This window comes from Homo sapiens, chromosome 15, assembly GCF_000001405.40.
Source record: "Homo sapiens chromosome 15, GRCh38.p14 Primary Assembly".
NCBI classification, from domain to species: domain Eukaryota; kingdom Metazoa; phylum Chordata; class Mammalia; order Primates; family Hominidae; genus Homo; species Homo sapiens.
Genome location: NC_000015.10, coordinates 55,335,585 through 55,362,319, shown reverse-complemented (window position 1 = coordinate 55,362,319; position 26,735 = coordinate 55,335,585). Strand labels below are relative to the sequence as shown.

The window sequence follows — 26,735 nt, the reverse complement described above, 5'->3', positions numbered from 1 at the left end:
TGAATCCAGGTAATTGACTGCTCTGACTCAAATGGGGTAACCATAACGTTTGTGATAAATTAAGCCAAATTTAAGTATCATTTTGCAGATTTATACATAGGATATTTTTAACTCGATGTATAATGCTTTAAGAACCTGTTGAACCATATTGTTTAAGTTTTGACTGTTTTTGGTTAGATTTTGTTACTAATGCATATGTGTAAAAGAAAATTCAAATCAGTCAAGGATACCCTTATTGAAGCAGTAAAATTCTATAAGCCGAATTGACCATGATTTCTACCACGGGTGCTGACTTTCAGTTATAGTAATCTATAGATTAATCTTCAGAGTTATATTAATCTGTACAGATTACAGAACTTCAAAAATTTACCATAAAATTGGATAAGTTAGTTATAAATGTTCAAGATTCAGTCTGTCTTCTAACATGGTTATAGAATTTATGGCTTATCTGTACTTACTTAGAAATGTTAATTGCATAGGACTAAAATGTTTCAAATAGGACTAAGATTGTTAGAATTTCATCCTTTGAAGGGTACACTGAGTACAAACAATTTTTGAAGCCGTAAGTCAGCTCTCGATGTAATTTTACTTTTATTTTTTATTTGTTTTTTTTTTGAGACAGAGTCTCGCTCTGTCGCCAGGCTGGAGTGCAGTGGTGCGATCTCGGCTCACTGCAACATTCGCCTCCCGGGTTCAAGCGATTCCCCTGCCTCATCCTCCCAAGTAGCTGGGACTACAGGTGCATGCCACCATGCCCAGCTAATTTTTGTATTTTTAGTAGAGATGGGGTTTCACCACGTAGGCCAGGATGGTCTTGATCTCTTGATCTCGTGATCCACCCACCTCAGCCTCCCAAAGTGCTGGGATTACAGGCATGAGCCACCGCGCCCAGCTAATAATTTTACCTTTTATAAAAGGTAATCTCTTTTCCTGATTCAGAAAAGCCTTTAGTCCTGCAAGCTCTAGCTAACTTTCTGTCTTTTAAATTCTTCCAGCCAGGCGCGGTGGTTCATGCCTATAATGCCAGCACTTTGGGAGGCTGGAGAGTCGCTTGAACTCAAGAGGCAGAGGTTATAGTGAGCCGAGATTGCGCCACTGCACTCTAGTCTGGACGACAGAGTGAGACTCCATCTCAAAAAAAAAAAAATTCTTACACCATGCTGTAGTTCTCAATTTGATGTAGCTCTCTGCTCTGCGTTTTCTTGCATATGAACCTTGTATTTCCCAATGTTTATACTATTGAAAATACTACCCGGGGGGTTGTATCTGTAGAAGTAAAGACACAAAAGCTTATGGGGTATTATATCTTGAAGATTTAAATTCAGCTTTTAAAGCATTTGACATTTTATTTCTTCTCTTTCAAAAAAAAATGTAGTCATTGAAAGAAAATCTTGCAAGGTGTTGGACACTTACTGAAGCAGAGAAGATGTCCTTTGAAACTCAGAAAACGAACCTTGCTACAGAAAATCAGTATTTAAGAGTATCCTTGGAGAAGGAAGAAAAAGCCTTATCCTCATTACAGGAAGAGTTAAACAAACTAAGAGAACAGATTAGAATATTGGAAGATAAAGGGACAAGTACTGAATTAGTTAAAGAAAATCAGAAACTTAAGCAGCATTTGGAAGAGGAAAAGCAGAAAAAACACAGCTTTCTTAGTCAAAGGGAGACTCTGTTGACAGAAGCAAAGATGCTAAAGAGAGAACTGGAGAGAGAACGACTAGTAACTACGGCTTTAAGGGGGGAACTCCAGCAGTTAAGTGGTAGTCAGTTACATGGCAAGTCAGATTCTCCCAATGTATATACTGAAAAAAAGGAAATAGCAATCTTACGGGAAAGACTCACTGAGCTGGAACGGAAGCTAACCTTCGAACAGCAGCGTTCTGATTTGTGGGAAAGATTGTATGTTGAGGCAAAAGATCAAAATGGAAAACAAGGAACAGATGGAAAAAAGAAAGGGGGCAGAGGAAGCCACAGGGCTAAAAATAAGTCAAAGGAAACATTTTTGGGTTCAGTTAAGGAAACATTTGATGCCATGAAGAATTCTACCAAGGAGTTTGTAAGGCATCATAAAGAGAAAATTAAGCAGGCTAAAGAAGCTGTGAAGGAAAATCTGAAAAAATTCTCAGATTCAGTTAAATCCACTTTCAGACACTTTAAAGATACCACCAAGAATATCTTTGATGAAAAGGGTAATAAAAGATTTGGTGCTACAAAAGAAGCAGCTGAAAAACCAAGAACAGTTTTTAGTGACTATTTACATCCACAGTATAAGGCACCTACAGAAAACCATCATAATAGAGGCCCTACTATGCAAAATGATGGAAGGAAAGAAAAGCCAGTTCACTTTAAAGAATTCAGAAAAAATACAAATTCAAAGAAATGCAGTCCTGGGCATGATTGTAGAGAAAATTCTCATTCTTTCAGAAAGGCTTGTTCTGGTGTATTTGATTGTGCTCAACAAGAGTCCATGAGCCTTTTTAACACAGTGGTGAATCCTATAAGGATGGATGAATTTAGACAGATAATTCAAAGGTACATGTTAAAAGAACTGGATACTTTTTGTCACTGGAACGAACTTGATCAGTTCATCAATAAGTTTTTCCTAAACGGTGTCTTTATACATGATCAGAAGCTCTTCACTGACTTTGTTAATGATGTTAAAGATTATCTTAGAAACATGAAGGAATATGAAGTAGATAATGATGGAGTATTTGAGAAGTTGGATGAATATATATATAGACACTTCTTTGGTCACACTTTTTCCCCTCCATATGGACCCAGGTCGGTTTACATAAAACCGTGTCATTACAGTAGTTTGTAACATTTGTAGATTGGATAGCATTTTTATGATTTGATGAGTTTCTTGTAAGGTTACCGTTTCTAAGAGTTGTGCTTTATGGCCACTGAGAGAATTCAGAATAAATTGAAAGATGGAGTCTAAAAATTATTAGCTGTTACAAATGGAACATTTCATTATAACGTGATCACTTTGACTTGAGCAAATGGTTTAATTTTTATCTTAAAAATCAGTTAAGAATATATAAAATCCTACTTTGGCCAAGTTTGTTTCTTTTCATTATAGTTTATATGAAAAGATCACCTTAAGTGAAATTATTTTCCTTTAATCTTTTATGTATTTATTCACTTTTGGAAGCTAGGAATGAGCAACACAAATTTTACTCTGAAGTCAGAAGAGCTCATATATAATAATTCTAATGTCCCACCTATTTTCACTTGTCCATTCCATGTACCAGCTTAGTTATGATACTTAGTCACATAATTATCTTTGATAAAGGTAGAGGCACAAAGAGGCAAACTAAGCAAGTCAAATTCTAATGTGTGTACTTCATAATAATTTTTTATCCATTTTCATCTTTATATTCTGTAACATGAAACTTACCTAATCTTCAAATGTTAGCTTCATTTTTTACCTTTGAAATACTTAATCTTTCTGAATAAATATAATGTGTCTATAAAATAATGAGACTGATTCTGGTGTCTTTAGTCATTAAGCTGGTATCTAGTCCTATAATGAACAAAGGTGAAGCTGCCTTGAGGAGACAAGTGAAAAATTTTTGCTTCAAAGGAGCTCACAAGCTAAGTAAATAAATGAAATTAAGGTATGGGGCATGGTGGCCTCAGGCTGTCTGGAGGTGTTTGGAAAGGCTTCTTGAGTGAGGTGGCCTTTGAACTGAACTTAGTTTTTAAAGTAGCTTTTGGAAGAGAAATGAGGATTTGCTATGCAGACAGGGAAGGGAATTTCACTTAAAAGGAAGGTCATTTGGAGATGTGAAGATACACTGCTTTAAGGAAGCAGGGTAGAGCTGGAGGATAAGAGATGCAGACCATGAAGGGCCCCATTTTATGCTAAAGGTTTTGTCCTGTAGGACATGGAGAACTTCTGAAGAATTTTCAAGGCGGGTGGGATAAGATTATATTGTATTTTAGATTACAGTAGTCCCCCCTTATCTTCAGGATATATGTTCCAAGACCCCCAGTGGATGCTGGAAACCAGGGATAGAACATAATTCTATATATACTATGCATGAATTTCTTTTTCCTTCTTTACAATCTCACACATAGGTTTGTTCTTACTATAGATCTTACCAATCTCAGCATACTTTTATTTCTCTTGAGAACCTTCACCCTTTCACTTAAAGGAGGCGCTTTATAGCTTCTCTTTGGCATATCCAAATGCCAGCATCACTGTTGTATTTTGGGGTCATTATTAAGTTACTTAATCATCCTTAATCCTTATCTTAGGGATACTTGAACACAAACACTGTGGTAGGATAACAGTATATCTGATTAACAGACTGCTACTAGGTGATTAATGGGTGGGTAGTGTAAATACACAAGAAAAGGATGATTCACATCCCATGTGGGATGGAGCAGAACTGCATTATTTCATTACATTACTCAGAACAGGCATATAATTGAAAACTTATGAATTATTTTTTTTTAATTATTTGAGATGGAATCTTGCTTTGTCAGCCAGGCTGGAGTGCAGTGACACGATCTCAGCTCACTGCAACCTCTGTCTCCTGGGTTCAGGTGATTCTCCTCCCTAGTCTCCCAAGTAGCTGGGACTATAGGCACGTGCCACCACACCCGGCTAATTTTCATATTTTTAGTAGAGATGGGGTTTCACCATGTTGGCCAGGCTGTTCTTGAAATCCTGACCTCAAGTGATCCACACATGTCTACCTCCCAAAGTGCTGGGATTACAGTCGTGAGCCACTGTACCCCGCCTAAAACTGATGAATTATTTCTGAAATTTTCTATTTAACATTTTCAGACCACAGTTGACCACAGGTAACGGAAACCTCAATCACAGAAAGTAAAGCCGTGGATACGGTGGGACTAATGTATTGGTAGCAGCCTAGAGGATTGATGGGAAAGGTATGAAGCTAGAAGGTGGTCAATATAATACAGACATGAGCTGATGAACATCTAAACTGGGACTATACTAGTAGGAGAGGAAAGGAAAAAACATTTGGAAAATAGTAACATTGATATTTCTTGTGAAGGAGAAGTAGAAAGTAACAGTGACTTCTAGATTTCTGGGTTGGGTCATCTTGTTGGATAGTAGTACCACTGAGATAGGGAATTCAAGGTTTGGGGCAAGGGTAATTGGAGATGAGAATTGTGTTTGGAGGTAACTACTGACATTCAAGTGGAGAGGGTTAGTTGGCAGTTAGTTCTATGGTCATCTCTTTTGCCGAGACTGTATATTTATCAGACTCCTGGGAGAACACCAACATCCATGGGGTTGTAGGGAAGGCTAAGGACAGGAGTGGGGAGTGGTACCTTGAAAATCCAAAAGCCATCTCAAGTAAAAGGAATAAATGTGTCATGCTTTTTAAAAAGTTGATGTGCGGAAAATGTTTTCTTGGCTTGGAAACTGGGCGGCCAGGGGATGACAGTATGGACTTCCAGTGAAGTAGTGACGGAAGCCTGATCATAGACATTAAGGAAAGCGGTGTAGGTGTTGTGAGCTTTTGCTGTAAGAAAAAGTTGAGACTTTTGTTTTGCTTTGTTTGTGAGAGATGTGTATGTATTTCTGCTGAGTGATAAAGCCAGCGGGGAGGGACTGATTTTTATAGGAAAGGAGGAAAAATAATGGAAACACATCTCATTATTTTATTGTCACATTTCTTTTCTTTGTTATCTTTTGAGTGTTTCCCTTTTTTGCCAGTAGAGTTATTGTCTATTTTTTCTTTCTATAGGACAAAAAAACTAATACAGACTCCTTTATTTTTATATGGATATACTAGGATTGTAATTCAGATATTTAATATCTTTTATCAGTGTTCAGATCATAGATTAATGGAGAAAACATTTAAAATTGTTTTAAATTTAAATACATTGAACTCTAACATAGATGAAAAATGTGTTTACTGCTTTCAGTCGACCTGATAAAAAGCAACGTATGGTAAATATTGAAAACTCCAGGCATCGAAAACAAGAGCAGAAGCACCTTCAGCCACAGCCTTATAAAAGGGAAGGTAAATGGCATAAATATGGTCGCACTAATGGAAGACAAATGGCAAATCTTGAAATAGAATTGGGGCAATTACCTTTTGATCCTCAATACTGATTCACAATTGAGTTAAATTAGACAACTGTAAGAGAAAAATTTATGCTTTGTATAATGTTTGGTATTGAAACTAATGAAATTACCAAGATGACAATGTCTTTTCTTTTGTTTCTAAGTATCAGTTTGATAACTTTATATTATTCCTCAGAAGCATTAGTTAAAAGTCTACTAACCTGCATTTTCCTGTAGTTTAGCTTCGTTGAATTTTTTTTGACACTGGAAATGTTCAACTGTAGTTTTATTAAGGAAGCCAGGCATGCAACAGATTTTGTGCATGAAATGAGACTTCCTTTCAGTGTAAGAGCTTAAAGCAAGCTCAGTCATACATGACAAAGTGTAATTAACACTGATGTTTGTGTTAAATTTGCAGCAGAGCTTGAGAAAAGTACATTGTTCTGGAATTTCATCATTAACATTTTATAATCTTACACTCACTTCTTGTCTTTTTGTGGGTTCAAGAGCCCTCTGACTTGTGAAGAATTTGCTGCCCTCTTAAGAGCTTGCTGACTTGTTTTCTTGTGAAATTTTTTGCACATCTGAATATCGTGGAAGAAACAATAAAACTACACCATGAGGAAAACTAAAGGTCTTTATTTAAAATCTGGCATTGTATTAACATGTAATTTTATACTATGTGGTATTTTATACATTTCCTCAGTAGTGATATTTGGTAAAGCAGTTCATACAGCTTTTTTCTAAGTTCCATGAATCTTACCCAGTGTTTACCGAAGTATTTAAGCAGCATCTGAATATTTCCACCCAGCAATGTTAATTTATCTAGGAAAGTTCAGAATTTCATCTTCATGTTGAATTTCCCTTTTAACTTCCGTTCATAGACATATATGTGACTTCCAATTCGACCCTCTGGCAAGTGAGTGTGGAAGAAAACAGCAGTTCTTTTATAATTGCTTGAAATTAGGAAAGCGCTTATTTCCTAGAAGCAAATAAATGTTTAAGTAAATAAAGGCTACATTTTGCTGAGTACTGTTTCAGTCAATTTTAGAATTGCCTATTCTAATTGCTGTCTACAACTTTTTGCTTAATAAAAGAATTAACTTATAGGAAGTAAAATACTTTGATAGTTACAGAACTGGGGCTAATTTTGACTGGAGAAAAGACTAATTATGAAATGTGGGTTGAAACAGACCATAAAAAGGTTATATTATCTATTTACCTGAGGGTTTCCTAAACCTGGGGTAAAATTAAAATACTGAGTTTTCCTCTTTTTCATGTTTACTTACCTCTTCCAAAATGCTGAAGGTGATCAAGTGAGTAGGCAATGATGCATCATCATGAAACTCTCTATGTAACCAGTTTAAGGGATTTAGGTAAAATACATCTGCTTCATCAAGATAATGACTTTTTCCAGTCAGGTCTGGCGGGCACTGGAGAAATCTCATGGGAAGTGGGCAGTGAACATGGCTATGAAAAGAAAAGTTACCATAATAAATACAAGTAAAACATGAAAGTTTTCATTAGTCTTAAGATATGTCATTTATACTTAGCAAAATGTGAAATCTGAATCTGTAAACTGTGTTGCAGTTAAGTGAAGAAGCAAGCCTTTAACTCATTTTCTCAAAGATAAAAAAAACATGATTCTTATACCATGTACCTATGCAGCAGCAGCAGTATAACCTATAAGCCCAAACTAGTGCATAGAAGTCCATTTCAAGGAGGGAAGTAGGTCAGTAGGGGGACTCAACATTCTGTAGCATTGGTATTCTGTTCCGGAAACATAAATGGTCCTCAGGACCAGGTAAGTTAACTTGTTAATAGGAGAGTAATTCTCCATAGGTGTATTTGATAAAGTAGGAAACTGTGATCATAATCAGAAAGGATTCTTTCTCTCTTCCCTTTCTGCTCTGATAGGGGATGGATCACATACTTATATGGCAAGTTTTTTTTTTTTGAAGACAAGAGTTTCGCTCTCGTCACCCAGGCTGGAGTGCAATGGCGCAATCTCAGCTCACTGCAACCTCCACCTCCCAGCAATTCTCCTGTCTCAGCCTCCCAAGTAGCTGGGATTACAGGCGCCCGCCAACCACGCCTGGCTGATTTTTGTATTTTTTTAGTAGAGATGGGGTTTCACCATGTTGGCCAGGCTGGTCCTGAACTCCTAACCTCAGGTGATCCACCCGCCTCAGCCTTCCAAAGTGCTGGGATTACAGGTGTGAGCCACCACGCCCAGCCACATGGCAAGTTTGAAGTGTTTTTTTTTTTTATTTAAGATGATTGAGAAGTAGAGAGCAACATATGTCCACTGATTAACATCCAAATAAGTAATGGTTTTATTGTGGCATAGAAAGACTAGAGTAGGCCGGGTGCAGTGGCTTATGCCTGTAATCCCAGAACTTTGGGAGGCCAAGGCATGTGGATCACTGGAGGTCAGGAGTTCAAGACCAGCCTGGCCAACATGGTGAAACCCTGTATCTACTAAAAGTACAAAAATTAGCCGGGCATGGTGGTATGTGCCTGTAGTTCCAGCTACTCAAGAGGCTGAGGCAGGACAATTTCTTGAACCCAGAAGACGGAGGTTGCAGTGAGCTGAGATCATACGCCACTGCACTCCAGCCTGGGCGACAGAGCAAGAGTCTGTCTCAAAACAAAAAAAAGATTAGAGTATAAAAAAGATGGATTCATTTCTAATACCAGTTATGACAATTTAAGCCAGTTACTTAGGTCATGCAAAAAGCCATGTTTATAATTGCCTTAGGAAAAATTAAACCTCACTGATACAAACATTTAAAATTTCCAGTTAGAAATGGAGTTAGTAATTATGCAGGAGGTTTATTTATGAAATGCATAAAAATTAAATGTACACAAGACCTAATAGTGATTTATTTATTGGAAATGAAGGTCTTGTTTCAAAGGGAAGCAGAAATTCCTCAGAAAAAGCTGCCGGCCTACTCTAGTCTTTCTATGCCACAGTAAAGCCATTACTTATTTGGATGTTAATCAAGGGACAGATGTTGCTCTCTACTTCCAAGTCTGATGCAAAATAGGCATCAGACTTTCCTCTCTTGTGTGCTTTGAAAAGGTGTGGAGAACTTGGTGAACTATTCAAAGCCTAAGACATCAACTGACTACAGTTAAGTATAAAGAACATCTTGGTACATCTAGGATTCCTGTTCTCCTCAGTATTATCCCTAATGTGAGCACGGAGAGTGAATGTCCCTTTTTCAGCCACATATACATATAGTAGGGAATCCTCAAGTTGAAAGGATACTTGATGTCTTCCTTTTAGCCTGTGGTTTTTGCTAGGATCTCCATTTTTCTAAACTGTATATTAATTACTGGCATTAATGATTAGTTAAATAGGAGTATTCCAAGTGTTAAATTCCCCTAAAATGATAACCACTGTAATTAAATTAATTGAACGTGCATAGGAGACATTAACTCCAGATTGTTTAAAGCCAGACTGAGTTAAATAGTTATAGATTTTATGTATTTATTTATTTATTTTTAGGTTGAGTCTCGCTCTGTCGCCCAGGTTGGAGTGCAATGGTATGACCTCAGCTCACTGCAACCTCCGCCTCCCGAGTAGCTAGGACTACAGGCATGCGCCACAACACCTGGCCAATTTTTTTTGTATTTTAGTAGAGTCAGGGGTTCACCATGTGGCCCAGGCTAGTCTCAAACTCCTGAGCTCAGGCAGTCTGCCCGCCTCGGCCTCACAAAGTGCTAGGATTACAGGCGTGAGCCACAACGCCCAGCCTGGTATATAATTTTCTGTAGGAAATCTGGCTCCTTTGCCCCTATACCATTACTGGGTAATTAGTAACTAATACAGCTTCCTGAAATAAAGCACAGGAACAAATGGATGTCTTTTTAAAGGCCATACATAGTTGAGGCAATTTTAGTATATTTCCCAGAAACACTTAATTCAAGCATTAGAATATCATCTAGTCGCATTCCCTAATTTTTTACAGGTGAGACAACTGATGTCCAAAGAGATTAAAAATCTAGTTTAAGGCCGGGTGCGGTGGCTCACGCCTGTAATCCCAGCGCTTTGGGGAGGCTGAGGTGGGCGGATCACCTGAGGTCGGGAGTTCGAGATCAGCCTGACCAACATGGAGAAACCCTGTCTCCAATAAAAATACAAAATTAGCCGGGCATGGTGGCACATTCCTGTAATCTTAGCTACTCAGGAGGCTGAGGCAGGAGAATCGCTTGAACCCGGGAGGCAGAGGTTGTAGTGAGCCAAGATCACGCCATTGCACTCCAGCCTGGGCAACAAGAGCAAAACTCCATCTAAAAAAAAAAAAAAAGAAGTCTAGTTTAAGATGAGGGCAATAATCCAGTAGTAAATCTGGACTAAAATCCATGTTTTTTTTTTTTTTTTTTTTGGAGACAGAGTCTTGCTCTGTTGCCCAGGCTGGAGTGCACCTGGTGCAATCTCGGCTCACTGCAAACTCCGCCTCCTGGGTTCATGCCATTCTCCTGCCTCAGCCTCCCGAGTAGCTGGAACTACAGGCACCTGCCACCACGCCCGGCTAATTCTTTGTATTTTTAGTAGAGACGGGGTTTCACCCAGCTTAGCCAGGATGGTCTCGATCTTCTGACCTTGTGATCCACCCGCCTCGGCCTCCCAAAGTACTGGGATTACAGGCGTGAGCCACGGCGCCCGGCCTAAAATCCATGTTTTAAGATTAATTCAAATTGTGTAAAGATGTATCACAGAGATTTGTAGTAAGGTAAGTAATACATGAGTTTCTTTACTAAGAAGACTATCAGATACCTACAAATTGTTTTATACTGATTTAAATCAGAATTAGGTGTAAGTAAATTGTTTTTAAAGAATAATAAAGTTTACGGCCGAGCACGGTGGCTCACACCTGTAATCCCCGCACTTTGGGAGGCCAGGGCAGGCAGATCACGAGGTCAGGAGATCGAGACTACCCTGGCTAACACGGTGAAACCCCATCTCTACTAAAAATAGAAAAAATTAGCCGGGCATGGTGGCAGGCACCTGTGGTCCCAGCTACTCGGGAGGCTGAGGCAGGAGAATGGCGTGAACCTGGGAGGCGGAGCTTGCAGTGAGCCGAGATCGCGCCACTGCACTCCAGCCTGGGCAATAGAACAGACTCCGTCTCAAAAAAAAAAAAAAAAGAAAAAAAGTTTATTTAAAACATTTTCTTTGACACAGTTCAAGTGGTTTTTAAAATCCATCAGTGAATAAATATGTGGGAGTTTAAAATTTATCATTTGATCAGTGACCAATTAATTCAAATCCAGGAATCTGAAAGGGAATTTTAAAGTAGTCAGTTTCAGTTTCTTAACAGCATATAGTGGAACATCTTTTATTACCTGTAATAAGGAGTAGAGTGGCAAGGCATCATTATAAATATTGAAGCTGAAGATTTATTGGGATTGTTGTAACAAACTTTTTGAATATGACTCATGACATCAAGAGTACCTCGTTGATGAACTAAACCAGTATAAAGGGCGAGGAACAAATTTGATAAAAACAGGAAACTTAGAGCTGGTTTCTTCCATGTTTTCAGGTGGGTTAATGAGTATCCTATATGAAGATAGACATATTGAACCTTAACACTGACAATCTTTTGTTATGTTAACTGCAAATACATCTGTAATTTTTAATGGAAATAGCAAAAACTGTAATACTGTTATAGACAAATAAGAAATAAGCAATAAGTCATATCTCTGACCATTCACCATTCACTACTGTCATCTAGGTCTTGACTTTTTCTAGTAAAAGGTATTGAGGTATAGTGGAAAGATGATGGTTATGGAGTCCAACAGGTCCAGATTTGAATTCCAGTTCTAGCACAAGTCGTTTTACTTTGCTGGTCATTGGGATAATAGTACCTTATTCAAGTGTTAGAAAAAATGTCCAGTGACTGCCCTGGTACATAGTAGTTGCTAAATAAATAGGACTTTTAATTATTCCATTTACCTACCTCTTTAATCTCCCAAGCACTAATAATTGGTATTTTAGTGTGTAATACGAGTTTCAATAATGTGTCCTCTTAGGAAAATAAGCCATTGGGCACCTGGGAGATTTTCCGTAAGTATATGAGTGGAAGAAAAGGTGCTATGTCTTACATTTTTTTTCCCACAACAGTGGGAAATTTTGTTTTCCCACTACAGTCAGGCAATTTGGAGATGCTGAACAATTTTTCTTTTTTGATTTATGAAAGGGATTATTCTGTGGGGCAAAACAAAACAAAAAACCAAAGGAAAAAACCAAGTAGAATGAATAGACGGGTATAAAAGGATAAGTAAAAGTCTCTCTCCCCTCTGATAGTCCTTTTCTTCAGCAACAGCCACTATTAATGGACATATTAGGATCTACTGAGAATACAAAGAACAGGCCTTTCCACTGGAAAAGATTAAGCTTATTAGTAAGCATGACATTTTGTTCATAATTTACATACACTCTTTTTATAGAACTAGATAATAGTTCTTTTTGAACTTGGGTATTCTTCATCCAAACCTTGGTTTGCCCAAAATGTTAGTACAATACTGAATGGGACCAAGGCAGTGTTTTTTATTTTGTTCCTCCTATGAATATGTTAATATCATCCACAGTTCATACCTCATGAGTTGGAATATCACATGTCCATGTCACCTAGTATTTTTTAATCTACTTGAAATAGTTCTGATTAAAGAATAATCTGAAAAGTGGTGTGGTGAAAAATGTAGCAAGATTAAGAAAACTAAGCCTATCACTTAAATCTACATTTATAAGATGTTTGAAATGGTAAAATGAGGAACCTACTAAAAGGAATGATAATTAGAACTAGCTTTATTTGAAATAAAATAGCTGAGATGAGAGGATTGCTTGAGGCCAGGAGTTCAAGACCAGCCTGGGCAACATAGTGAGACTCCATTTAAAATAAAAAAAAATTAGCCAGGCGTGATAGTGCGCACCTGTAGATCCAGCTACTGGGAAGGCTGAGGCAGGAGGTTCACCTGTGCTCATGAGTTTGAGGGGACAGTGAGCTATGACCACGCCACTGCACTCCAGCCTGGGTGACACCCTGTCTCTACGAAAATAAAAATGAATAAAATAGGGCCAGGTGCGGTAGCTCACACCTGTAATCCCAGTACTTTGGGAGGACAAGGCAGGCGGATCACTTGAGGTCAGGAGTTCAAGACCAGCCTGGCCAACAGAGGTGAAACCCCATCTCTACTAAAATATAAAAATTAGCCGGGCGTGGTGTCAGAGGTTGCAGTGAGCCGAGATCACGCCACTGCACTCCAGCCTGGGCAACAGAGTGAAACTGTCTCAAAATAAATTAAAAAATAGGATTCTAAAAGTTCAACCATCTGTAATAACCCCAATCACAGACACAGCAGATCCCCAAATATAAGTTGAAGCACTTAACTTAGGTTGGTAGGCTAAAACAACATCTATTTTAGTAGGCTCAAATACAAAAAGCTACATTAAAGCCTTGTCTTTGTTTGTACTGCTATACTGGAATACCTGAGACTGGCTAATTTATATTTACTTGGCTCATGGTCCTGCAGGTTGTACAAGAAGCATCCACTGGTGAGGGCTTCAGGCTGCTTCCACTCATGGCAGAAGGTGAAGGGGAGTCAGTTTGTGCAGAGATCACATGGTGAGAGAGCAGAAGCAAGAAAGTGGAAGGTGCCAGGCTCTTTTGTACAGCCAGCACTCGGGGGAACTCTCATGGAACCTAATATAAGGAGAACTCACTTACTACTCCAGGATGGTGCCAAGCCATTCATGAAGGCTCCACCCCCATGATCGAAGCATCTCCCATTAGGCCCCACCTCCAACAGTGGGGATCAAATTTCAACTAAGGTTTAGGGGACAAACGTCCAAACTACAGCAAGCCCATCCTACAGCAAGGCCCGAGAAGATACAGTTTGTTCTCAATTATTTGAAGATACTTACAAGGTGAGCATGTGTAAAGTGATTCACTTATTAATAATTTGTTCATTCAAGGCCGGGGGCTGTGGCTCACGCCTGTAATCCCAGGACTTTGGGAGGCCAAGGCGGGCAGATCGCGAGGTGAAGAGATCGAGACCATCCTGGCCAACATCGTGAAAACCCATCTCTACTAAAAATACAAAAATTAGCTAGGTGTGGAGGCGCATGCCTGTAGTCCCAGCTGAGGCAGGCTGAGGCAGGAGAATCACTTGAACCCGGCAGGCATAGGTTGCAGTGAGCTGAGATCGTGCCACTGCACTCCAGCCTGGTGACAGAGCGAGATGTCGTCTCAAAAAAAAAAAAAAAAAAAAAAAAGAAACTATGGCACTAGGAATACAATAGTATAGGTGGGTGACACAAAATGGGAATACTTGGTGATCAAGACTGTGAAAATAGCACTCTGGGTAGAATGCTGGAAGATAACATGCTTGTGTTTCCAGCATCTTCAGTACTGGTGAGACAGAGCGTCTCTTAAGTTAGGTAATGCTTGCCTTACATGATGGTGATTTTAACTCTCTGAGCTTAGCTCATTTTAGGATGGATCATTTTAGTGAGAACTGAATCTCCATATTACTTAGAGAAGTAATATAAAGAAAATGCTGGGAAGAGAAGGAACAGCTGAACAATGCCAGGGAGAGTCAGGTGATAGCTTAGTTTTCTTGGGGACAGTGGATACTGAAACAGTTGCCATTCAAAATTGTCTTCAACAGTATTATGGATCCGATGAGCTTTTGTGTAATATTCTGGGAGCCTTACTACATGTCACAGTATTATTTCTAAGAAAAAAATATTTCAGGTTCCAACTTAAAAATGAAGTTTGGGGATAAAACCTTATTTAAAATAGAACTGTCTTTATGATTATTATTTTTTTGAGATGGACTCTCGCTCTTTCGCCCAGGCGGGAGTGCAAGTGGCATGATACCGGCTCACTGCAACCTCCACCTCCTGGGTTACAAGCGATTCTCCTGCCTTAGCCTCCTGGGTAGCTGGGATTACAGGTGCCTGCCGCCATGCCCGGCTAATTTTTGTATTTTAAGTAGAGATGGGGTTTCACCATGTTGGCCAGGCTGGTCTCAAACTCAGGTGATCTGCCCGCCACAGCCTCCCAAAGTGCTGGGATTACAGGCGTGAGCCACAGCGCCCAGCCAGAACTGCCTTTATTTACATGTTTAGCATCCTATAAGCATTACTATGCATTTGACATATAAAGAAAATATCTTTATAATTTCAGTTATCATCAAATGACTTGTGCACATGTTAGAAAAGAACCCAACTTTAGAGTATAAGTCAAGAGTCCTGAATTTAAGGCCTCTGAGGGGTTTTTAAACCTTCTGGCACTGAAAGCTTCCAAAGGGGATTTCAGAAATGAGTTGCTAAAGGAAGGGTTGGAAAGATTTTCCAGTTCCAATGCTAGACTGAGTGAACCACAAGAGAAGCCTAAGGTCCATGGTTTTCTTATAGACCAGTAGTATTGTTTCATCAATATTTAAAACAAATGAACAAGATTCCAGTAGGTGACATCCAGTAAGTCTACTTAATGGCACGCACAAATTTGGAGATGGAGTTCTCACTGAAATAATCCACCCTCAAATGACCTAGCTTCAGAAAGTGATCATCCCCACCACGTAAATGATGTGTATCCCAATCACTGAAGATTTAAGACTGTGTGTGTACCCCAGTGACTAAAGTATAGGTTCCTTCCTTTCACATAGTAACAACCCATTGCTAACTGGATGCTAAACATCACCCCTAAATACTTAATTTGCTCCTGTTATCTGGGCCTACAAAAAGATACTTGAAAGTCGGTATACAGAAAATTTCTGGAAGAACTGCTTAAGAAAGTGATAACAATAGTTACCTCTGGGGAATGGGACTAGATGACTTGAGGATGACACACTATTTTTGTACCATCGGCATTTATTTTTATAATAAAAAAATACACTGGGCTCCTATCAGATCATGTTCATCAGACTACTGTTACAGAAATGTTTAAAATCCATTACATCTCAGTTGACTACTCTTCAGGATAAAATCTAAAAACCTGAGCATATAAGAAGATACTTCATGAGGTGGTTCCTTTATAAAGCCATATCTCTTAATCATCATGTATTATTTAGCTTGATATACACACTTTAAAAATTTTGGATATCTAGCGTGGCATTCTGTATTTTCCAGCAATCACTAATACGTTCCTTCTTACCAAGGTAAGGTTCACGGTAATAGAGAGGATGGGAGTATCTGAGACTGTACATTGCTGATTCCATCCTGGTTTTGACAAGAATTATCAGGAAACCTAATGTTAAGAAAAAAAATCCCTACCACATTTTACCAATTAGAGAGATATCTGAGTTACTGTTTCTATTTTTAAATACTCTTTGAGAAAGCTTAGTTTCAGTGTTTAGATAAGAACAACAAAAGGTGGTTCAATTCTGGAATGGGACATACAGTAGAATGGGGCTGGGAAAGAGAGACTTTGAACTACTAACCATAATGAGGGTACTGGGCACAGATGAAGGTATCAAGAAGAATTTTTTTTTTTTAGACAGAATCTCGCTCTGTCACCCAGGCTGGAGTGCAGTGGTGCCGATCTCGGCTCAATGCAACCTCCACCTCCAGGGTTCAAGTGATTCTCCTGTCTCAGCCTCCCAAGTAGCTGGCATTACAGGTGCGTGCCACCACACCCAGCTAATTTTTGTATTTTTAGTAGAGACAGGGTTTCACCCTGTTGGCCAGGCTGGTCTTGAACTCCTGACCTCAGGTGATCCACCCACCTCAGCCTCCCAAAGTGCTAGGATTACAGGCGTCAGCCACTGGCAGCTGGCCAGGAAGAATTTTATGTTGCTATTTTGTTAAGGAAGTAAAGCCATCTTTCCATCTTCGATAGAATTCAACAGTTAATGCCTAAAACAAAGACCTTTAAGTGGCATTATAAATGTTTTAGAGATATCGAGATAAATACCAAAATAACCAGCTGAAAGAATGCTTAACTGATTGTTTTTGGGGAGAGGAAATAGGGAGAGCAGGGGAACAATTTTTTTTTTTAATTCCTTGTGGAATGTCTTCTGAAATAATGTACATATGCAATTTTGATAAAAAGATTAGAATATGGGGCCAGCTGTGGTGCCTCATGCCGTAATCCCAGCACTTTGGGAGGCCAAGGCAGGTGGATCATCTGAGGTCAGGAGTTCGACACCAGCCTGGTCAACATGGTCAAGCCCCAACTAAAAATACAAAAATTAGCTGGCTGTGGTGGCATGGGCCTGTAATTCCAGCTACTCTGGAGGCTGAGGCAGGAGAATCTCTTGAACCCAGGAGGCGGAGGTTGTAGTGAGCTGAGATTGCGCCACTGCACTCCAGCATGGGCGACAGAGAGAGACTCTGTCTCAAAAAAAAAAAAAAAAAAAAAAAGATAAGAATATGGAAAAACAAAGTGGCCCAGTAAGAGAGAAGTCTATATTAGCCACTGTGGTAAAAACAGATAAGCAGACACTCAACTCAGAATCAGTAGTGGGTGCTGAACTCTGTCAGCACAAATGAGAGATTCAAACTAAGAATTTAATTAGTGTTGCTAAAATATCACCTTTCTTTTACAGATAAGGAAAATGAGGCACATTGTTGAACAATTCACTAAAGATCAGAGCCAGTCACAAAATATATTTTCTAGAGTTGAGTCCTATTTTATAGGACTAAGGGAAATTCAAATTAGGCAAGAGAAGTTACCGTAGACTGAAAAAACTGCTGCAATTATTTTTCTTCCTGTGTCCCATCCCACTATGAGGTTGGCATTTATTTCCCCACCTCTTGAATCTGGCCTGGCCCAGTGACTTGCTTTCATGAAAAGAATGTGGTGGAAGTGACAGTATGCAAATTCCAAGCCCTTGTCTCAAAGGGCCTTGCATATTTGCTCCCTCTCTTGGAACCCGGCCTATGCCAAGTGAACAAGCCCTAGCTGGCCTGTTGGAGGAAGAGAAAACTCAGAAGAGCTGAGAAGACTTGGCCTACAGCTAGTTGAACCCCAGACATGAGAGCCCAGCCTAGGTCAATAGAGCTATCTACCCAATCTGCAGCTGTGTAAGTGAGCTCAGTGGAGATGAGAACTGCCCAGTTGAAATGTAGACCTGTAAATTATAATAAATGGAGTTTTAAGCCACTACAGTTTTGAGGTGGCCTTTTACACAGCAATGGCTGACAGAGTTGTCATGTTTACATAAAAATAGGTTAAAACAAGTCACACAAAGCAGAATAAGGCTGAAATTTGTGGTATAACTCAAGATTTCAAGTAGTTAGGAAAGATTCAAACTGGGTCACTAAAACATCAAGAGCTCCAAAGAGAACTGTTCTAAATGTCCAGAGATTTCTGTCTAGGTGACATCACTAGACAGAACTGATCCTACTGTTGGAACCTCTTGGCATTAAACAGCCCTGACTGTTAGTGGAAGTACAAATCTCCTAGGAATTAGAGTTTTTTGACCCACTCTAGAACCTTAGGTAGGGTGTGGAGGAAAAGAATGCATCCTGTGAGGAGATCAAGGGGTTTTCTAGGTTGCTGTCTTTTAGGGATCCTTCTAAGTAGACAGAGGATGGAAGAAGGGGTGATTCTTACCTATTAGAAGGGGCTCTCTTTACCCCTCATCAGCATTTTATCTCAATAAACTGTGAATAGGCCCTGGTTACAGGGATCTTGCCACTTAAAGATTCAATCTTTTAGACTGGCAATGAGGATTCAGACAACTCAATCTTTGTGTAAATACTTGGTAAAGCAACAGGACACAGAAGAGGAATGCTGGAAAAATCTGGTTTATGAAAACAGAAATCAAACCAAGTTACTAACCAACCTCCCCGTCCCCTCCAGGCACACAAAAACATTTGCCTTTGTACTCTGCCAATGCTTGATTTAATTATAATACACACTCAAGTGGCTGTAAAAAAACCCAACAGAACAGAAACCATTTAACATCTGAATAGTGATTTATGAACAGATTTCCTCTGACAAATGGGGCCAGCTATTCTTAAGGCTTGCCAAATAGCTGTTAGATGTCTAAATTTTTGTATGTGCCTGCGTTTGTATGTGGTTACACTGTAAAGTAATGACAGACTGAGGCTTTGATTTCAGAACTTCAGATGTATCAAAAATACAGATTTTTAATATTTGATTTTATATTTGTATGTTTATCTTCTTAAATTGAAGAGATTATACATCTCAGATCTGTAGGAGTTGATGTATACTTGGTCAAACATTGCCTAACTCAATGTTTTTCTTTTTTTTTAAGTAAAAAATAAGTTTGAAAACTGTAACTCCCTAGGTTTTTTCCAGCCTCCAGTTCCAGTTGGCTAGTCATTTCTTCTCTCTCAACGCTGTGATTTTTTTTAAGGTCTTAATATTTGAAGGAAGTCAACAGTCATTTATTCCGAATTAAACTTGAAGTTAATAAAGTTTCAATTCGTAATTTTTCCAAACCAACCAATGTAAAAACCCAGATTTTCCTGAATTGAGTCATGTAAGGATTTTTGTAAGTGACAAAAAAATACATGTTAAGACTGTGGAAAAATGGAGAAAAGGCCTGAATAAAATCAGGAGTTAATTACTTAAAAAATGGCATATGCCAGGCTGGGCGCGGTGGCTCACGCCTGCAATCCCAGCACTTTTGGGAGGCTGAGGCGGGTGGATCACCTGAGGTCAGGAGTTCGAGACCAGCCTGGCCAACACGGTGAAACCCTGTCTCTACTTAAAATACAAAAATTAGCCGGGTATGGTGGCGGATGCCTGTAATCCCAGCTACTCGGGAGGCTGAGGCAGGAGAATTGCTTGAACACAGGGAGGTGGAGGTTGCAGTGAGCCAAGATCGTGCCACTGCACTCCAGCCTGGGCAGCAGAGTGAGACTCTGTCTAAAAAGATAATAATAATAATTGCATATGCCTTAGAGTGAGTTTTAAAAGTGTAAATGTTTTGTGTGTAAAAGCATTAAAAACTAGTTTCAACAGCAGTAAATACATTTTTCCTTTGTGAAAATGAAGACCCTTACAGTTTAACCATAAACTTAAAATAGCTAATCTAAAAACAGACATGTTACTTTACTTTTTAGTGAGAAACACCACCACCAAATAGAAACACCACCACCAAAAACTGCTTTGGGTATTGGATATTTATGTGGGTTTTTTGTTTGTCTGTTTTTTGAGAGAAGGACTTGCCATATGGTAGGCTGGTCTCAAACTCCTGGGCTCAGGTGATCCTCCTGCCTCAGGCTTCTGAGTAGCTGGGATTAAAAGTGCACACCACTGCACTGGGCTAGGATCTTTATGTTTTTATCTCACTTTAGAGGATATAGGAAAAAAGATATTTGGACTACAAAAAGGGAATATTGCAGTAATATAATTAATCTGTAATTAAGTAATTCCTTATTAACCTAGTTGAAAATAGACATAGTTTAATGAGGATGTGTTGTCTTTAGACTATTTCTATATAATTTATTTTCTATAACAAACAAAAGCACTTACCACAGAACACCATACAGAATGGTAAAACTGGATAAATAAACCTGAATTCTTTGTGGCTCAACATGCTGTAATAAAAACAAATATTATTAAAAAATATTAATTATCATGTTATATGATAGATTGAGAAAGTAATATATTTAATATAAAATATATTTAACTTGATCTATTTATTTTCTAAGTATTCAGACTGAATTTCTTGCTTCAGAAATTCATCTTATTTTTTAGTTATAAGGTGATTATGATATGGTAAAACTAATCATAAAATATGATGTCAATTTGAAATTACAAAGTACAGTTACATTCTAAAAACGGGATTTCTATTTCAATCCAAGTAAGTGAAATTAGTCAAATTTGGAATAAGGATACATACATTTTTATTTTAGAATGTATTTCTGTGGTCCTTCAATTTAAAATTTTGGTAGTATTGATTGACTGATTGACTGAGACAGGGTCTTGTTTTGTCACCCAGACTGGAGTGCAGTAGCACAATCATAGCTCACTGCAACCTTAAATTCCTGGGCTCAAGCAGTCCTTCTGCCTCAGCTTCCCCAATAGCTAGGACTACAGGCACATGCCATCATGCCCTGGTAATTTTAAATTTTTTTTCAGAGAGAGGGTCTTGCTATGTTGCTCAGGCTGGTCATGAACTCCTTGCTTCAAGCAATCCTCCCACCTTGGCCTTCAAAGTATTGAAATTACAGGCATGAGCAACTGTGCCTGGTCTGTTTTTTTTTTTTTTAAAGCAAATAAAATTAGTCCAAGTTCTTAAAAATTGAGTGTAATCCTTATTAAGCAAACTACATATCTAAAGTATTCACTCTAGTGCCTCCATAATTACTACTACTTGTATCTTCTAAGATAATTCCCACTAACAAAAGTTAATGGCACCTCCAAAACATAAAGTTTACTTTTTGAAGAATTTAATTTGATTTCTTGGTAACATAAAAAATTTTAGCCTTTTGAACAAATAAAATCTTACCTATAAACAAGCAGTGTCCACAGCACAGTCACCAAAAGTATCCGGTATCTCTTTGGTGCTAGATAGCAGCCATGAATAAAGAAGGGTAAGTGAGTACCCAAGATAACTGGAAATCCTTGACTGAAGTACCAGTGCCATGGATGAGAACCATAAAATGTTCCCCAGTTCTGCAGCACGTTAAATTTCAAAAAATTAAATTGAACCAGAGTCCACTGGCACCGTTGAAGGAAAAATAAATAGAAATGTGTTAGTGCCAAGTAGTAATCTTTGGCATTAGGGGATTGATACAATTTTGACATTAAATCAGAATTGAAGTCTAAAAACCAGGCAATAGTTTACATTAATAATTTTTTTTTTTTTTTTTTTTTAAGATGGAGTCTTGCTCTGTCGCCCAGGCTGGAGTGCAGTGGCGCGATCTCGGCTCACTGCAAGCTCCGCCTCGCGGGTTCACGCCATTCTCCTGCCTCAGCCTCCCGAGTAGCTGGGACTACAGGCGCCCGCTACCACGCCCGGCTAATTTTTTCTATTTTTAGTAGAGACGGGGTTTCACCATGTTAGCCAGGATGGTCTCAATCTCCTGACCTCGTGATCTGCCTGCCTCGGCCTCCCAAAGTGCTGCGATTATAGGTGTGAGCCACCATGCCTGGCCTAATAATTTTAATTAATGACTGTATGAAATCCTTCTTAACTGTTATTTTTTCTTCTTTAAGTATTAATGTGTTCCTTGTTAATTTGTAAAACTAGATTTTTGAGATTCAAAGTGAGAATCAAACTTATATTTTGGCAGTCTAAGTTTGTGTTTTTATTTCAAGTTTTTGGGGTACAGATGGCTTCTGGTTACATGAATAAGTTCTTTAGAGGTGATTTCTAGGATTTTGGTCCACCCATCACCCAAGCAATGTACACTGTACCCAATATGTACTCGAAATAAGAATTTCTCACCCCTCTCTCACCCTTCCCCACCCTGAGTCACCAGAGTCCATTATATCATTCTTATGTCTTTGCATCCCATAGCTTAGCTCCCACTTATAAGTAAGAACATATGATATTTGGCTTTCCATTCCTGAGTTATTTCACTTAGAATAATGGCCTCCAGCTCCATCCAAGTTTTATATCCAGTTAAGAGATAAAGAGGATAGTAGACATATTTTTTGGACTGTGTGGTACTTTACAATGTGACATATTACCTGTGAAGATAAAGCTTTGAAAACATTACAATTTGAATTACAGCGTAAAGCTGACAATAATGACAGAAACAGCAACAGGTAACATTCAGTGCTCACTTAATAATTCCCTGCCTTAAAATGTACTCTCCTGAATATTAGCTAGGAGTACTAATTCTTTTATGTAGAAAGCACAACAAATTGAACCAAAGGCTTATTAGGATATGCCTAGAAGTCTTTTGTAATGTATCCCATATCATTTAAAAAATCATTTGCCTCTGTTCTAAAGTATTAATGGATTAAAAATAAAAATAGCTGTTAGCTTAATATACTTTTACTTACTTGGCCAAAAAAAATACGATCAATCATCAGAGACAAACTCAAAGTAACAAAGCTGAAAAACAAAAATAGCATAGTGATTCACATTTGGAGCTTGCTGAAAATCCACTATTAGCATATGGCTTTGTACGTGCCTTGCATCAAAAGCCACTATAAAAATGCTTTACAGTTTCACCAACTGAATATAGATTTACACATTTTGAAAGGTATCTACTGAAAAAGATCAGTAGATAAGATTATATAATCGATTAATATTGTAAAAAATATATTAATAAAAAGATTATTGAAAGACTACTGCTGTATAACAAATTACCCCAAAACTTGTTAACTTAAACTATGAATATTTACCATTTCATAGTTCCTGTGGATCAAGAACCTAGGTGTTGCTTAGCTGGGTGCCTCTGGCTCGAGGTCGCTCATGAATTGTAGTCAAGCTCTTAGCAGGGGCTACAGTTTCATCTGAAGGTTCAATTACAGGTGGAGAGATCAGCTTCCAAATTTGCTCACATGGTTGCTGGTGGGGCTAAGTTCCTCAACATATGGCCGTTTCCTTAAAGCTGCCTCATGACATAATTAACTGGCTTAACCCAGGGTAAGTCAGCCAAGAGTGAGTGAGACAGGCACCCAAGATGGAAGCCATAATCTTTTTATTTATGTATTCTTTTCTTTTTTTTAGAGACAGGGTCTTGCTCTGTCACCCAGGCTGGAGTGCAGTAGTGTGTGATCATGGCTCACTGCAGCCTTGACCTCCTGGGCTCAAGTGATCCTCCCACCTCAGCCTTCCAAGTAACTAGGACTACAGGTGTGTGCCGCCATGACTGGATAATTTTTGGATTTTCTGTAGAGATGGGGTCTCACTATATTACCCAACTGGTCTCAAACTCCGGGCCTCAAGCAGTACTTCCCCATTGGCCTCCCAAAATGCTGGGATTACAGATATAAGCCACTGTGCCTGGCCACCATAGTCTTTTCATAACCCAGTCTTGTAAGTGATATCCCATCCCTTCTGCTGTATTCTACTCATTAGAATTGAGTCGACAAATCTAGCCCATGTTCAAGGGGGAGGGGATTATACAAAGACATAAATAGCAGGAGGATGGGATCACTGGAGGCCATCTCAGAGACTGCCTCCAACAAACACATATACAGAAAAATACGCTATGAAGGTAAAGCTCTATGAATCATCACTACATGAACACAACTGTGTACCTGCCATACAGAGCAGGATAAAGAGTATTAGCAGCACCACCTTGTCCCTCCAATCAGTCAGTCCCTACCTCCTCCCCAAAAGTAACCCAAAGGTAACCCTTCCTCTTCCCAAAGGTAACCACTATCCTAATTTCTGATAACATAGATGAGTTTTATCTTTTTTTGAATTTTATAAGAATAGGATCATACCATATGTACTCATGTCTAAATTCCTTTAGTCATTGTGCTTGTGAGATTGAACCAAGTTTTTTTGCGTGCTGTAGTTCATTCCTTTACAATACTGTGTATTGTAACTATGTATACCACACTGTATGTATTCCTTCTATTGATGGACACTGTGCTTCCATTTCCAGCTATTGTGAATAGTGCTGCAATGAACATTCTTTTACACATCTTTTGGTATCCATATATGTGCATTTCTGTTAGACATATACCTAGGATTGGAATTGGTGGGCCCTAAGGTAGCGGTCCCTAACCTTTTTGGCACCAGGGTCTGGTTTCTTGAAAGACAGTTTTCCCACAAACAGGTTGCGGGGGTGGGAGTGGGGCATGGTTTCTGGATGAAACTGTTCCACCTCAGATCACTGGACATTAGATGCTCATACGGAGCACAACCTAGATCCCTTGCATGTGCAGTTCACAGTAGGGTTCACACTTCTGTAAGAATGTGACAGGAGGTGGAGCTCAGGCAGTAATGCTTGCTTGCTTGCTCACCTCCTGCTGTGCAGCCCAGTTCCTAAGAGGCCATGGACTGGGGCCAGTCCACAGCCTTGGGACTGGTGACCCCTGCCCTAAGTTGTAAGTGCAACTATGTATTTATTTAGCTTTTGTAAGTACTTAAAAGTTTTCCAAAATAGTGTATTAGTTTGCAGTCCCACAGGAATATATAAGTTCCACATCATTTTAGCCATTTGGGTGGATGTATAGTATAGTAGTATTTCATGGTGGCTTTACTTTGTTTTTCCTTGATAACAAATGAAATGAGTCTCTTTATATTTATTGGCCATTTTAATATTTTTTGAAGTACCTGATGAAACCTTTTCAATAATTTTTCTATGAGTTATCTTTTTCTTATAGATTTTTAAAAGTTTTATATATAATCTGGATGTAAGGTTTTATTTTTGAGATGGAGCCTCACTCTGTTGCCCAGGCTGGAGTGCAGTGGTGCAATTTCAGTTCATTGCAACGTCTACCTCTGGGGTTCAATCGTTTCTCCTGCCTCAGCCTCCCAAGTAGCTGGGATTATAGGCATGTGCCACAATGCCCAGCTAATTTTTTTGTATTTTTAGCAGAGACAGGGTTTCATCATATTGGCCAGGCTGGTCTTGAACTCCTGACCTCAGGTGATGTGCCTGCCTCAGCCTCCCAAAGTGCTGGGATTATAGGCGTGAGCCATCGTGCCCAACCACTAGAACACTTTAAATCACTGGGTAAGAATTACAATCCCTAACTGATGATGATTCAACCTACGATTTTTCAACTTTAAAATGGTACCCATACAGCCATTCTGTTTTTCACTTTCAGTACAGTATTCAATGAATTACATGAGATATTCAAATATTTTATTATGAAATAGGCTTTGTGTTAGATGATTTTGCTCAACTGTAGGCTAATGTAAGCGTTCTGAGCACGTTTATGGTAGGCTAAGCTGTGATGTTCAGTACGTTAGATGTGTTAAGTGCATTTTTGACGTAGAATATTTTCTTTGTTATTTATTTTGTTTAGAGACAGGTTATCACTCTGTTTCCCAGGCTGGAGTGCAGTGGAATGATCATAGCTCACTGCAACCTTGAACTCCTGGGTTGAAGGGATCCTCCTGCCTCATCCTCCCAAGTAGCTAGGACCACAGGCGTGCCTAGTGCCACCTATACTTGGCCAATTTTTAAATTTTTTTGTTGAGATGGGGTCTCATTATGTTGCTCAGGTTGTTCTTGAACTCCTGGTCTCCCAGGGCACTGGGATTACAGGTGTGAGCCACTGTGCCTTGCCTGACTTATGATATTTTCAACCTGCAATGAGTTTATCAAGATGTAACCCTGAGTCAAGGAGCATCTGTATTGTTATATCTTTTTCCCCCACAGACTTTGACTTTGAGAGCAGACACTGTATCTTACTCACTTCTGAATTATCAAATGCTGGATACAAAGTAGGTTAAATGCTTATTAAATGAATAAGTTATTATCATGCTGCTGATGAGATTAAAAAGGCTTTCTATCTCCCTCAGTGGTAAAGCCGATAGGAACTGAGCCCCTGCTATCTCTCTGACCTCATTATTACATTCTCCCAAACTCACTCTCTTTTAGCCACATCAGTCTCCTTGCTGTTCCTTGAACATGCCCAGCATACTTAGTACTTGGCTGGCCCCTTTGCCTGGAATACTCTCTCATCAAGTAACTACATGGTTCACTCTCTCAACTCCTTTAAGTTTTGGCTCCAGTGTCACCTTATCATGGTGATCTTTCCCAACTACCCTATTTAAAAATAACAGCTCCCCCATTACCCCAAGCACTGGCATTCTATCCTTCTTA

The 26,735-nt window shown here is 39.0% G+C and overlaps 2 protein-coding genes and 1 long non-coding RNA gene across 15 annotated transcripts in view, besides 1 other annotated feature; 2 read left to right on the top strand and 1 right to left on the bottom strand.

The window, feature by feature from the left end:
- Positions 1 to 7,081, top strand: part of CCPG1 (cell cycle progression 1) — a 53,121-nt gene extending 46,040 nt beyond the window's left edge. For 2 of the 4 annotated variants that reach the window (NM_020739.5, NM_004748.6), the window contains exon 8: positions 1,376 to 7,081. In NM_020739.5, the coding sequence (NP_065790.2) occupies positions 1,376 to 2,821 (1,446 nt within the window). In that variant the 3' untranslated portion in view covers positions 2,822 to 7,081. The remainder of the gene's footprint in view (positions 1 to 1,375) is intronic. The other 2 variants (NM_001204451.2, NM_001204450.2) reach the window with 2 other exon arrangements.
- The window catches only part of DNAAF4-CCPG1 (DNAAF4-CCPG1 readthrough (NMD candidate)), a 143,362-nt gene extending 136,265 nt beyond the window's left edge, over positions 1 to 7,097 (top strand). The window contains exons 15-16 of the long non-coding RNA NR_037923.1: positions 1,376 to 2,781; positions 5,911 to 7,097. This is a non-coding gene — a long non-coding RNA (DNAAF4-CCPG1 readthrough (NMD candidate)). The remainder of the gene's footprint in view (positions 1 to 1,375; positions 2,782 to 5,910) is intronic.
- The window catches only part of PIGB (phosphatidylinositol glycan anchor biosynthesis class B), a 36,427-nt gene continuing 16,363 nt past the window's right edge, over positions 6,672 to 26,735 (bottom strand). For 8 of the 10 annotated variants that reach the window (NM_004855.5, XM_011522236.4, XM_047433363.1 and 5 more), the window contains 6 exons: positions 23,002 to 23,053; positions 21,497 to 21,708; positions 20,518 to 20,582; positions 11,408 to 11,621; positions 7,342 to 7,522; positions 6,672 to 7,034 (listed from right to left, as the gene is read on the bottom strand). In NM_004855.5, coding sequence (NP_004846.4) covers positions 6,888 to 7,034; positions 7,342 to 7,522; positions 11,408 to 11,621; positions 20,518 to 20,582; positions 21,497 to 21,708; positions 23,002 to 23,053 — 871 coding nt within the window. In that variant the 3' untranslated portion in view covers positions 6,672 to 6,887. Of the gene's footprint in view, positions 7,035 to 7,337; positions 7,523 to 11,407; positions 11,622 to 20,517; positions 20,583 to 21,496; positions 21,709 to 23,001; positions 23,054 to 26,735 lie in introns of those variants that run through there. The other 2 variants (XM_011522235.4, XM_047433365.1) reach the window with 2 other exon arrangements.
- Positions 8,877 to 9,520: an enhancer, noted in NCBI's record as "NANOG hESC enhancer chr15:55644998-55645641 (GRCh37/hg19 assembly coordinates)". NCBI's record gives its function as "activates a minimal SCP1, AML or CMV promoter by ChIP-STARR-seq in primed H9 embryonic stem cells {active_cell/tissue: H9 hESC(primed)}" and the evidence as "EXISTENCE:reporter gene assay evidence [ECO:0000049][PMID:30033119]".